Genomic DNA, 12,672 nt, shown 5'->3' with positions numbered 1-12,672 from the left:
CTGAGGTAGTGTAACCAGGGATTTGAATCCATGGTGTCCTGCAATTGTAAAATTCTGCACTTAACCTCACTATGCATGCCTCCTGGATATAGACTTGAATGAAATACAGAGATACAGAGAAGTGGGCATCTAGCGATATTCACAATGATCAATTCTGTAACAGGACTTCTTGGAGCCTAAATATCACAGAGCAGGCACGGCCAGCTCTGCCGCCAAGGGGAGGCCCCACAGAGGAAGAGACCCGGAGCAAGGTTCAGAATGGTGATTTAAGTAGCTTACTACACAAACACACCTGTGAGCAGAGAAGGGCATTCCAGGCAGAGTGGACCTCCTAGGGAATGACAGCCTCACACAACAGTTGTGCCTTTGTGGGGAGATACAAGCAGGTTGAAAAGACTGGCTTCTCTGTAAGAAAGGGAAGTGGTACAAACTGAGGTCAAAGAGGGCAGCAGGGACCAGCTCTGGAAAGGCCTTGAATGCCAGGCCAAGGGGTTAGACTTGACCCTCAGTGTTGATGGGGAGCCATGGGAGACTTCTAAGCAGGGGAAGGATGTGGTTGCTTTAAGCAGGGTGCCAGGGCTGCTGTGGGCACCACACACACGCAGGCACGCACCTTCCCTTTCTCAACCACATTCATCTTCTTTTCAGGAACGGGTACTGAGGTTTTAATGAACTCATTACTCATTCCACTGTCAGGTGAGTCCAGTTGCAGTGGGAGGGTGGGCAGAGGGCTCTTCCCGCTGAGGCCATGCTGCTGCGATCTCATCAGCAGCCGCCTAGCCCTGTCCCTGGCAGAAGCTCACCCAACCTGTTCTGCCATGACCCTCCCCTCCCACCTCCTCCCAATCCCACGCTTTGCTGCCTCCTGAACTTGCCAACATCCATTTCAATGGGCTTGATTGGAATCATGTCTCCCTGGAACTAACTACCATCTGTCTCCCTACACCATTGTCTCAGTGGGTGCCTCTGCATCTCTATTTCATGGCTGGGTGTGGGAAGCTTCTGTTTGTACCCTGGACAAGCAGTCTGTCTCTCTGTGTATCTGTCTTCTTTGCACCCATACCTCCAGCCTGGGCCTACCCATCCAGTATCTCCTCCTTCCCCTTCCCTTCTCCTTTCCACCCTGGACTTTTGGCCTGACTTGCTCTTTCTTTTCTTACCTTGAACTTGTCTGAATGTCTGTCTGCTTTTCTGTCTCTTCACACACTAGTCCCTCTGATTGTTCACCTCTTTCACTCTCTACCTCTCTGCCTTTGCCAGGCATTCTCTGGAAACAGACTGCTCCAAGTCTATTCAATAGAAGGGTATATGGTTTTGCAAATTCCCAACCATGTGTATTAGACTCGAGTAATCTGTGGAAGGGACTTCAAGTGAGAAAGGAACTTGTCTTTCCCGCTTATCACTATGAAGGCAGAGATGAGGCCACTAGGGACGTAAGCATGGGGCACTCCATTGTTCCAGATACCAGGCACCTCCTTTTCTTCCTCTCATCCTAAACCACATGGCCCTTACCTACGCAGGAGCCACAAGCCAATCTGGTGTTCCAAGTTAGATTGTAAGCAGCCAGAGGGCAAGGAAAACCCTCTGTGTCGTGGGATCATGGGCTTCCAAGGGTGAAAAGACCCCTTGAGATTCAACTGTTACCGATTTTCTTTTTCCCAGATGAGAAGTTTGAGGCTGAGAAAAAGGCATGAGTTTAACGACTGGCTTAAGGTCATTCATGAAGAGTCAGCCTAGATCCCAGGCCTAGTGACCTGCAGATGAGGGTTCTTAAGCCCAAAGAAGCACATGGCATGTGAAGTTCCTGTGCAGGGCTTCAGGGCACAGGGTAGGCAATGGTCTTCTGGTTTGCATGTAGCCCGACTTTACACCTCTATGGTAACACAAATGGACCATAGCAACTCTCTTCCTTCAGTATTTATGGCATAATGTTTACCAGAATTTATGTTTTTCTTCCTTAGTGCAGGGTTGTTTCTAGGGAATGGCTACCCAATCAAAAACTACATTTCCCAGCACCCCTTGCATCTACGGGGGAATATGTAATTAGTTCTTGACATTGGATTGTGAGTGGAAGCAATGTGTGTCATGTCTAGACGAAAGTGTTTAAGAGGAGGTTGTGCCTGATCCACACACTCATTTTCCTTTTTCATGAGCCAGATGCAGAGGACTCCAAGGCCCTAAGGGATGGCAGAGCCACAAGACAGAAGGAGCCTGGGTCACTGAATCACACAGAGAGCTACCTGCCAACCAGAAGCACCCACATTGACCTGTTACCTGGGCAGGAAGGGATTTATTTGTTATAGAAGCTGGCATCTCCCTAGAAAAATACAGTGTTGGCCATAGGTTATATACTTATAGGGACTCACCAAATTTGCTTCCTAAGGTATAGTCATTCTCATTCACCTGTCTTTGGTGAAGAGGCCCTGTCCTGGAATCTTCTAAATTGCCAAATTTCAGAAAACAAGTACAGGGTAGAGGTGAGACTGACCCATCACTGCCTGATCATGGCTCACACAGCTCTCTGGGCCCTCCTGGCTGCCTTGAGTTCTCACCTATCCCTCCAACTTTCCCTTTCTCATTACTTTGCCCCACCAGTAGTCTTTTTAAAAATTTATTTTTTATTATTTATTTAATAATAATTATTAATTTTTATTTTTAAAATTGCTGTGTTAGGCTGTTTGTGTTGCTATAAAGGAATATCTGAGGCTGGGAAATTTATAAAGAAAAGAGGTATAATTGGCTTATGGTTCTGTAGGCTGTATGGGAAGTATGTTGCTGGCATTTGCTTTTGATGAGGGCCTCAGGAAGCTCACAATCATGGCAGAAGATGAAAGGGGAGTAGGCAGTCACACGGCAAGAGAGGTATTGAGTGAGAGAGCAAGAGAGAGAGAGAGAGAGAGAGAAATAGAAAGAGGAGGCCCACACACTTTTAAACAACCAGATTTTGTGTGAACTCAGAGCAAGAGCTCACTCATCACCAAAGGGATGACCCAAGCCATTCATGAGGGATCCACTCCCATGATCCAAATACCTCCCACTTAGGATCCACTTCCAACACTGGGGATTACATTTCAACCTGACATTTTTAGGGGACAGATATCCAAACCCTATCAATTGACAGATAAAAATTGTATATATTTATGTCAGATAACATGTTGTTTTGAAATAGGTATATGTTGTGGGATGACTAAACTAAGCAAACCTTTGGTCTTTTATTCTGTTCTTCAAACACATTAGGCATACTCCTACCTTACAGCCTCTATACTTGCTACGGTCTCTTGGATTGCTCCAACCCTAGATCTTCTAAGCCTGTCTTTTTTCTTGTTAACCAAATTCTATTTCAGACACCCCCTCTTCAGTGAAGTCTTCTCTGACCACCCAGTCAAATGCAGTTGACTCCAACTCGCCATCAACTGTCGTCCAACCTCTATCACAGCTTCATGGTTTACATCTTTAATGGCCTTTGCCACTACTTAAAATTATCTTGACCATTTACCTGCTCACTCAGTTATCATCACCACATACCTCCCTTTAGTCTCTGCTTCATTTAAGGAAACAGATGCTCAGGAGTGTAGTGTAACTCACCAGAAGTCACATCACCACTAAGTAGTCATCCCAAGATTTGAACAGGTCTGACAGATTCTGCAAACGATGGTTTCTTCTTTACTACGCTGTTCTCTAGACACAGCAATAACTAGAGGGTTGCACTTGTTTTATCAGGACATAACTTGAATCATGAATCCTAAGGCATGGTGGTATAGGGGAAAGAGTATGAATTATTGGGTTGGCAAGCCTAGATTCATGGCCTGGCATTGACATTTTCCAGTATTAAACATCTCTGCATTTTTTCTCTCAAAACAGAATTAACATTCTTACCTCAAAGAGGTAACATACATTACGTTCAAAGAGGTAATATGACGACTGAAGGAGATAATGTATGGAGCAGGTAACCCAAGGCCTGCACACAGTGAGTCCTCAGGCATGCACTTCATTTCTTTTCTAACAAAGATATCAACATTTTTCCTGAGCATTCTACCTTCATCAGTGGAAAGAGAAAATTGTAAATTTGAGTAAAACCACAAAAGATTCTAAAGAGTGGCTGATTTATTTCTAACTTCATTCCCAGGCTTTTTTGGGAAGTTAAAATCCAAGTCAGACTCCTAGACCTCATCCCAGTTACTGTGCTGAAAGCAAACAGACTTTAGGATTAAAAATTTTCCCCTCATTTTACCCTCTACAAAGCACAAATGTCACGGACAAGGGGCAAGCTCATTATAGCTAGGTTTCTATCTGCCTAGTCCAGATGCATGTGCTAAAATATGAGGCCAGTTCCAATGGCCAACATCCAGGACCATGTGCACTGTGACTAATGTATGTAAAACACACACAGGGCTCCTCTTTCCCAGCATCTGGACCCCAAAGCAAAAGTTAGCTACAGAGAAATTTCAGACAGTCTCTCCAAAGTCTTCATTGCTTTTCAAGTTTGGAGGCAGTGAATCTGGCTTAAAGCAAAAAAGCCCTTAGTTGGGACTGGGATTTTTTTTTTTTTTTTTATATGGATGTTACTATCCTGATGGTGTTCACTGGCCCCTGGCTATAAAGTTCACATTTTCTGTATCAGTCAGGACAGCCTAGGTTGTATACTGATAACAAATAACTCCGATTTCTTAGGGGCTTAAAACAACAAGGGTTTATTTGTTGTTCATGCTACAGGTATAGTGCAGCTTGCCAGGTGATCCACGCTTACTATAACCACTCAGGGTCCTAGGCCAATGGAAGAGCCACCATTGCAAACTTTGCCAGTTGTTGGGCCTGGAGAAGAAGAAGGATCTCACACTGATAATTAACTATTCAGCCAAGAAGTGACATCTGGCCCTTACACTCCCAACACATCTGCCAGAGCTGGCCACATGGCTCCATCAACCACAAGGGGAGCAGAACTTGCAAACCCACTATGTGCCCAGAAATGGGGGAACCAGAAATATTTGTGCACAGCATCTTATTTCTGTTCCTCATGCTTCCTGGATGGGTTACCAAGTCTAGGTGATTCAAGTCTCATCCCCTTTGCTCCATGGCTATGATCCCTACTTGAGCTCAGACTTCACAACAGTTAGGCTTGTCCACTAACTATTGCATCCACCCCAATCTTGTCTCTTTGCTACTCTTCACCTTGTATTTCATCCTTGGCTTCTCAGTCAGAGTGATCACCCAGACCTCCCAATCCACCAGGTCATTCTCTTCCAGATAACAAAGCTTGGGGCCCTCTGACACCATCTTTCCTGCAACCCAGCCTAGATTCGTAGAGAGAGGAAGATAAAAGATATGTTTGTTTGTTTCTAGGAAAAGTCCTTTCAGGACCCCTCTGAAGCTGTGATTCTAGGGCTTTATTATTATTCTCATCCATGAAGCTGCAGACACATACCTCCTGCAGGGGGTCCGACTCAGACACTTAATTAGCAAAGAAAATTAAACCCCAGGGAACTGGGTTCCACAGTTGCAGACATCTTCTTGTGTGACCTGCTGCTCGGCTGGTAGGAGGGACGTGAGGTGTCTGGGCCTCAGTGTTGGAGCATGCTGGACCCTTCACAACCCACTGGCCTTACCTTGCCTGGCTGCCTTGCCCCCAGGGATGTCTTCCAGGCCCTCCTGCATATTCCACCTACTTTCCCTTGGGGGATGTTATTATTCTCTCCCAACAGATGAACATCAAAAGGCAAAATCCCCAATTCAGTCCATCCAAATAAATGATAACCCTCCCTCCTATGAGCACAGGCCTGCCCCATTGCCAAAGCATGTTCACTGACAGTGGCTCACTGCATTTTTTCAGCAACACCATGAGGTGGATTTAATCACCATCCACATTGGTAGGTGTAGAAATGGAGGCTTAGGGTGGCCAAGTCGCCAGTCAGTGAGCTGCACAGTGGGAGCTGGAATCCTGGCCTTTGGGTTCTCCCGGGGTAACTTTCTGCTCCACTGGTTGGAGCAGAGACTCTGGATTGCACCTCCCATAGAACTAGATGTTTAGAGAGCCACACTCAGACTCAGTTTCCCCGAGCCTTCCTGGCTTGGCCTGGAGCTGTGGCCAGACTCAGAACCACAGGCCAGGAGATAATCAGGCTGTTCCCTTTCTGCTCCCATCAGCAACAATGGGCCAATTAAGACAATTACTGCCGGTTTATATAACAGGAAATAGGGATCACCGTGCTCAACTCGCTGAAAATCTCCTATAAAAGTGCTAATAATGCATTAATGTATTAATCCCCTTAATCCTGTCAAATTACCACAGAAGCGCTTTGTGGAGCTGACAGTGGCTCTCCCGGTCCCTGCGGTGGGCACCACTGTCTGTGAGGCTCAGGGCACTCCTCTCCGGCCACCCTTTGCCCCCTCAACACTCCTCAGGAAGCTCTCAGGAGCTGCAAGGACAGGATGGCAACTGAGGACTTTTGGCAGGAGATAAATATTGATTCTTTTAAAGACAGACGATGATGCATTAAACAAAGATTCTTTCTTGATTCTTTCTCAGCAAGGAGAGACTCAGCTCTGGGCAGCTGACTCTATCGCTTGCTCTGTGGTCTTGGGCTGCTTTTCTAGGTTCTCTGAGTCTCCAATTCCTCATTTGTAAGACGTAATAATAGCTCATTGCAGTGTTGTTGGAAGATTCTAAAGCTGCAGGCAAATGCCTGACATATGAAGGTATTCCATAAATCTGCTGTCCTTTTTCCAGCTGTAAAATGGGAATAAGAATTCCCACCATGAGGGTTAAATAAAATCGCGTGCCTCAATTTCCTGACAGACAGTTGGGCTAACAGACACAGTAGTTCTTTCCCTTCTCACCCTTGTTTGTTGTTTTTGTTTGATTAAAATTCTGCCTGACTTTCAAGAGAGCTTAGGAACAAAGACTGTGATGCTCAATGAGTTGTTCAGATATTTCATTTGTTCTAAAGCAGGTCATATATTTTCTGAGTCTCACTCTTCAAGGTGGAGAGAATTTCCTACCCAGGTCAGCCTACATGGGGTCGTCCTATTCTTCCTTACAGGCATGTTAGAATGATTGGGGAGGAGGGTGCTGGGATGGGTCCTGGACACCTACAAGTGGGGAAGAGGCTTCAGTCTCTGACTGCCTCTAAGGTACTGGGGTAGTTTTGGTGTTGGGATGCTGTGGTCAGCCTGTTCTTGCTCTCTGGTGGTCCTTGAGGCTCCCAGAAGGCCCTTCAGGGCCTTGCAGGTGCCTCTCAGTGGATGGTGGGCGATACCACAGAGACCCCCTACTACCTTTGAGGCCTCAGTCCTAGTGGCCACCTCCACAGGCATCCAACAATTTCCCCTGTTGGAGACCATGTGGATATCTGTAGGCAGGGCTCTGCCATTCTTTGGAGTTGGAATTTGGAAGGGAAGAATCCATACCCCCATCCCTATTGCCCATTCAGTTTTGGGGAGCTCCTCTCTCTCTCAGAGTCAGTCAGAGTCTTCTGTTTCCTCCATTTCCAGCAAGTGTTGGGGTTGATAAGGGAGAAGAACTGAGGGTTATTACCTTCCAAGTGATTTTGGTTTCATGCGCTAAAATATAGACACTCTTAAAAATATCCTCTGGCAATGGCATTCAGAAACAGAAAGCTAGGGTTTGACTGTTTATTGGGATGGGGACAAGGGGAAAAGGTCTTTCTTTCTTTCTTTCTTTCTTTCTTTCTTTCTTTCTTTCTTTCTTTCTTTCTTTCTTTCTTTCTTTCTTCCCTCCTTCCTTCCTCCCTCCCTCCCTCCCTCCGTCCCATCCTTCCTTCCTTCCTTCCTTCCTAGAGTAGTGTGAGAGTTTTAAAGTATGTCCACAAATTTGTTGATACTACTCCCTCCAACAGGTGAAGCCTAAGTCTCCTCCCCTTGAATGTGAGCTGAACTTAATGACTTGATTATAATGAAGAGAATGTGACAGAAGCAGTGGTGTGTGATGGTGCAGATCATGAAAAGTATTTGACTTTCTCCTTGCTCTCTCTGAAGCACTCACTCTGTGGGGGAGGCCAGCTTTCATGTCATGAGGACACTCAAGTAGCCCTCTGGAGAGGCTCTCATGGTGAGGAACTAAGGCGTTCTACCAATAACCATGCAGTGTGCCATCTTGGAAGCAGATCTTCCAGCACCAGTCCAACCTTCAGATGACTGCAGCCCAGGCCAACATCTTGACTGCAACTTCAAGAAAGACCCCAAGCCATAACCACTCAGCTAAGCCATTTCCAATTCCTGATTCTCAAAACCTGTATGAGATAATAAAATTGTTTGTTGTTGTTTTAACCCACTAAGTTTTGAGAATAACATACTATGTAGCAGTAGGTAATTAACATAATTAACAGTAAAAACAAAACACAAATTGGTATTTCAATAAGTAACCCTGAAGGGCCTCTTGGGAGCCTCAAGGACCACCCAACAGCAAGACCAGGCTGACCACAGCATCAATAAGCATCAATGTGTATGTATGTGAGCCTGCAAAAATGGTAGACTGTGTTCACTTATTTAGCATCTATTTATTAAAGACCCATAGCCAGGCATAGGGTAGGTGAAGATGGGTGCATTACAGACCCAGTGTCTAGGAGGCTCAGTTTAGAGGGAATAGGCAGAACAATATAGAACATTGATGGACTAGAGAACCCAGATGGCTATGACAGCCAAGGAAAAGGGGCCCATGAGCCAAACTAGCTTTGTGTCAAGGGAAGGTGTCTTCGTGGTGATGACAGCTATTCTGAGACTCCAAGGATGAGTAGGAATCAGCTGGGTGAAGATGAAGCATGGGGAAGAGTGCACCAGCCAGAGAGAACTGCTCATGCAAAGGCCCTGTGTGAGTGGGAGTTCATTACCTTCCGGAGTATAAATTGGTTAAGGTGTAGTCAAAGCTTAGGAGCGTGGGAGTGTGTGTGTGTGTGTGTGTGTGTGTGTGTGTGTATGTGCACACATGCATGTGTGTTTACATGCTTGCATATGTGTATGGAGGGGAGAAAGGGAGGCATAGAGGACTGTGACGAGATAAAGCAGGAGGAAGAAGAGAAATACAAATTCAAATCTTTGCCTACCTTGTCGTAGGTATGTGATTTTGGACAGGTCACGTCACCTCTCTGAGCTTTATAGCTCCTTCTTTCTAAAATGAGAATCCATTCAATAATACATTTAACAAAGATCTTACTACATCCAGGTTCTGGGCTAAGTCTAGGAGTACAATGATGTTAACCAGAACAGCAATTCTTACTCCCCAGGAGCATAGAGCTGAGGGTGGTCCAAGTGTGTGTCATATCCTTGATCTGTGCCAGCTCTTTGGCCAGCATTCTTCTGGGGCTATGTCTTCTTCCTCTTCTCATCTCCAAGGCCTAGCACAGACTATTGAGGGTATTGTTAATATGGCTGAGCATTACCTAATAGCTACACTTTGAATTCAGAAGGACTCTTGCCCAAGATAATAGACCTGGGACTTGAACCCAGCAACCAGGCTTGGGTCTGGTTACTAAGTCTTAGGCTCCGACATCAGACTTCTTGGCTTTTAATCTCTCCTTCAGCATTTGCCAGTCAGATGACTTTAGGCCAGTTGACTGTTCATCTCTGTGAGCCTCGGTTTCTTTATATAAAAAATGGGAATATTATAATAAAATCTCTGCTAGTGGGTTTCTGCAAGGATTAAGTACCATAACGAGTTCTTAGATATTTGGTAACTGCTTAGTAGTTGGAAACAATCTTTGTGACTGTTTGTTAGCAGGAGAACTTGGTGGATATAGCATTCTGGTTACATGCTGGGACTCTGGAGCCTGGTTGCTGGGTTCAAGTCTCAATTCCGTTACTTAACAGCTCTATTATCTTGGGCAAGAGTTTAATTTCTTGCTGCCTCTCCCTTTCTTCTTATGCAAATTGGGAATAATAGGGGAACCTACCTTAAAAGTTTGCTGTACTTGTTAAACAAACTAGTATATGTGGAGTGCTCAGAATACTGCCTGGCACTCAGCAAGGGCTACGTAAGTGTAAGCTAATATTTTTTATGATGCTACCTTATTCTTTGCAGTTTGCAAGAGGGTGTTGTGCAGGCATCAGCAGGAGAAATCAGCCATGTTGTTGAGGGAGCAGAATGGAGGCTGTTTATCAAGCTTAGAGGATAGCAGCACAAACAAAGAGCCCCTTGGGTAGAGTGATCTAACCCGTAGAGTGATCTAAGCTATGCCACACCCAACCCACTCTAAAGCCACCCCTCCTGTTGTCCAGGAGACCCAGAATGCACTGCGGCACAGAACCAATCCCACTCCCCCTGCCTGCAGCACTGTCCCCTCTGCCCAGCAACAGGGACTCAGGGATGTGTGTGTTGGCTTAGCAGGACTTGGGGGTTAGCCAGGGAGGGCGGAAGGCAGACACTCTCTCTCCTGCCCCCTGCCATCAGCAGGCTTGAGGACTCAGACAAGCCCTCAGCTTAATTGGCAAATGGATTCTCCAAGGGTAATTTCGTTGATGCGCGCCGTGGGAGGGTCTGCAGGCCTTAATGACCAGCTCTGCCTGCTAAATGTGTTTACCAAAAAATAAGGTTATTGATTCCACAGATATTCTGTTTGGCCCTCACCATCAGCCTATTAACGCGAGTTTTATGTAACAGGACAAATAGATCACAGTGTAAAGTCTTTTGAAAATCCCCTGTGAATGCTGTAATAATGCTTTAATGTATTAATCCCCTTAATCCTGTCAAACTTCCAAAAGAATTTCAGGACGTGCTGACAGAATATCTCGCTCCCAGCCCTGGCAGCTACAGCTCCACACGGCGGCTGCTGCTTTTAACCTTTTGTGAATGGGCCGAGGAGAGGCGGCTGTGTTCGTAATGGCTACAGGGTTATGAGCTGATGTTTGAGGGTGTGGGAATAGATGGAAGAGGCACCGATGCCGGCTCAGGAAAAGGAAAGACAGCCTAAAGAAAGTGGTAGCCCCCAGGGCCTTATAGCACGGAGCTGGCTATGATAAACTTGGGAGGCAATGGTGCCTGTCATGCACTGATCTCTTCATTCCTCCCTTTCATCTCTCCCTGTTTCTGTCTCTCTGTCGCTCTCTTTCTCTGCTGGGCACCGAGCTAAGCACTTTACCTGTGTTGTTTCATTTAATCTCCACAACAGCCCCGTGAGGTAGACACTGCTATTCTCTGCACGTTATACAAGTGACTGGTTTGTCTGGATTGCTGGCAGGTGGCAGAGATGGGGCTCAAAGCTTGGTCTGACCCCGAAGTCCAAGCTGCCTTCTTTCTCCTAGGCTGGGGCTCAGCAAACTTTTTCTGTCAAGGGCCAAGGAGTAAATAGTTTTGGCTCCTTGTGCCATATAGTCTCTGTTATAAGCATTCAGCTCTGTCACTCAGCATGAAAACAGCCATGCTTCAGAATACAAAAGCACATGGGTGTGGCCGTGTTCCAATAAAACTTTATTTGTCGAAACAAGGGATGGGTTGAATTTGGCCTGCAGGCTGTAGCCTCCCACTTCTGTAATAACAGATAATGGGGGCCAGTGGGATTCCTGCAATGGTTTTGTTGGATGGTGAGTCTGAGACCTTGGGGGGATAAACTTCCAGGGTGGCATCTGCAGGGAGGTGCTGGACATCTGCCTCACTGCAGGGGCCTTCATCTTGTGATGCTGGAGAGACCAGCTGAAACCCAAATGATGGCTGGACTGAAGGCCTGCTCTCTCTTGGACTCTGGGTTGAGGGGGCTAGGACCTGGTTTGGGGTAGCTGGGGTGCAGGCTGCCTGGCCGTGTGGTCCTGATAAAGTCCTTTCCCTTCTCTGGGCCTCAGTTCCCTCATCAGTGCCATGAAACAGTGGACTTTGCTGCTCTTCAGAGTCCCTCCAGGTCTGGAAGCCTGCATCTGAGCAGCCGGCCCCCAACCTTAGGTATTTGCAATACAAGGGGGCACTGCTTGACCTCGTGCACTGAGAAGTCTCTGAAGGATGGACCTGACTTTGTTTCTCCAGAATGCTTTATATCAACAACTGAAATAAGGACCATCAACAGCAACTGAACACTCCCCACTTCAGTTCCCCCAGTTGCCCAGGCTGGGAAGCTGTGCTCAGTCCTTGATATCGTCCCGCTATTCATACTCAGGCACCAGTCGTTAGAATCTATCCTGAATCCTTCCCCACTGCCAGAGCCAGATGGAGGGAGGGGGACGCTCCAGCCCATACTTGGAGATGGCAGAAACCTCCTGGGTCCAGACTCCATCAGCACTCAGCTAGATCACTCTACATGAAGACCAGCCTGCCTCCTCAAGTCGGATCCTATCACCCTCCTTTTAAAATACTTCAGGGGTGCTCAGGATAAAGTCCTAATTTCTACGAATGGTCCCCCAGGTTTCTCTTGTCTTCTGGCCCCTTTCCTTGAGATATCACATTTTTCCCACTCAAGTGTGCATTCCATTCACCCACACTGAGTCTCCTGGGTTCTTTTACTATCTCCAGGGAGAGATCACGTCTGTGTGGCAGGAACCTCCCCTCCTTTTTTGCCTGGTTAACTCCTGATCATGCTATATGTCCTTTTTCTAAGGAGCCTTTCCTCATCCTGCACTTGGGGGAGGTACTGCTGCTCTCTGATCTCATGGCCCCACCATGAGAAGGAGGAGACCTTATCAGCTGGCTTTGCAGTCATGTCTCTGAGCTTGTGGGTCTCCCCAGCCAGACTGTGAGCT

At 46.5% G+C, this 12,672-nt stretch overlaps 1 long non-coding RNA gene across 1 annotated transcript, besides 1 other annotated feature; it reads left to right on the top strand.

Annotated features, from left to right (window-relative positions):
- The first annotated feature begins 646 nt into the window (after positions 1–646).
- LOC124902260 (uncharacterized) lies at positions 647–8,287 on the top strand. Its single transcript, XR_007061751.1, has 2 exons — positions 647–696; positions 7,854–8,287. It is a non-coding gene; the product is annotated as an uncharacterized LOC124902260 (long non-coding RNA).
- Positions 10,157–10,451: an enhancer, noted in NCBI's record as "tiled region #9522; HepG2 Activating non-DNase unmatched - State 10:DNaseD, and K562 Activating non-DNase unmatched - State 10:DNaseD". NCBI's record gives its function as "activates a minimal TATA promoter and a strong SV40 promoter by Sharpr-MPRA in HepG2 and K562 cells {active_cell/tissue: HepG2 | K562}" and the evidence as "EXISTENCE:reporter gene assay evidence [ECO:0000049][PMID:27701403]".

This window comes from Homo sapiens, chromosome 9 (assembly GCF_000001405.40).
Source record: "Homo sapiens chromosome 9, GRCh38.p14 Primary Assembly".
NCBI lineage: Eukaryota > Metazoa > Chordata > Mammalia > Primates > Hominidae > Homo > Homo sapiens.
This window is presented reverse-complemented; position numbering and strand designations above follow the sequence as displayed.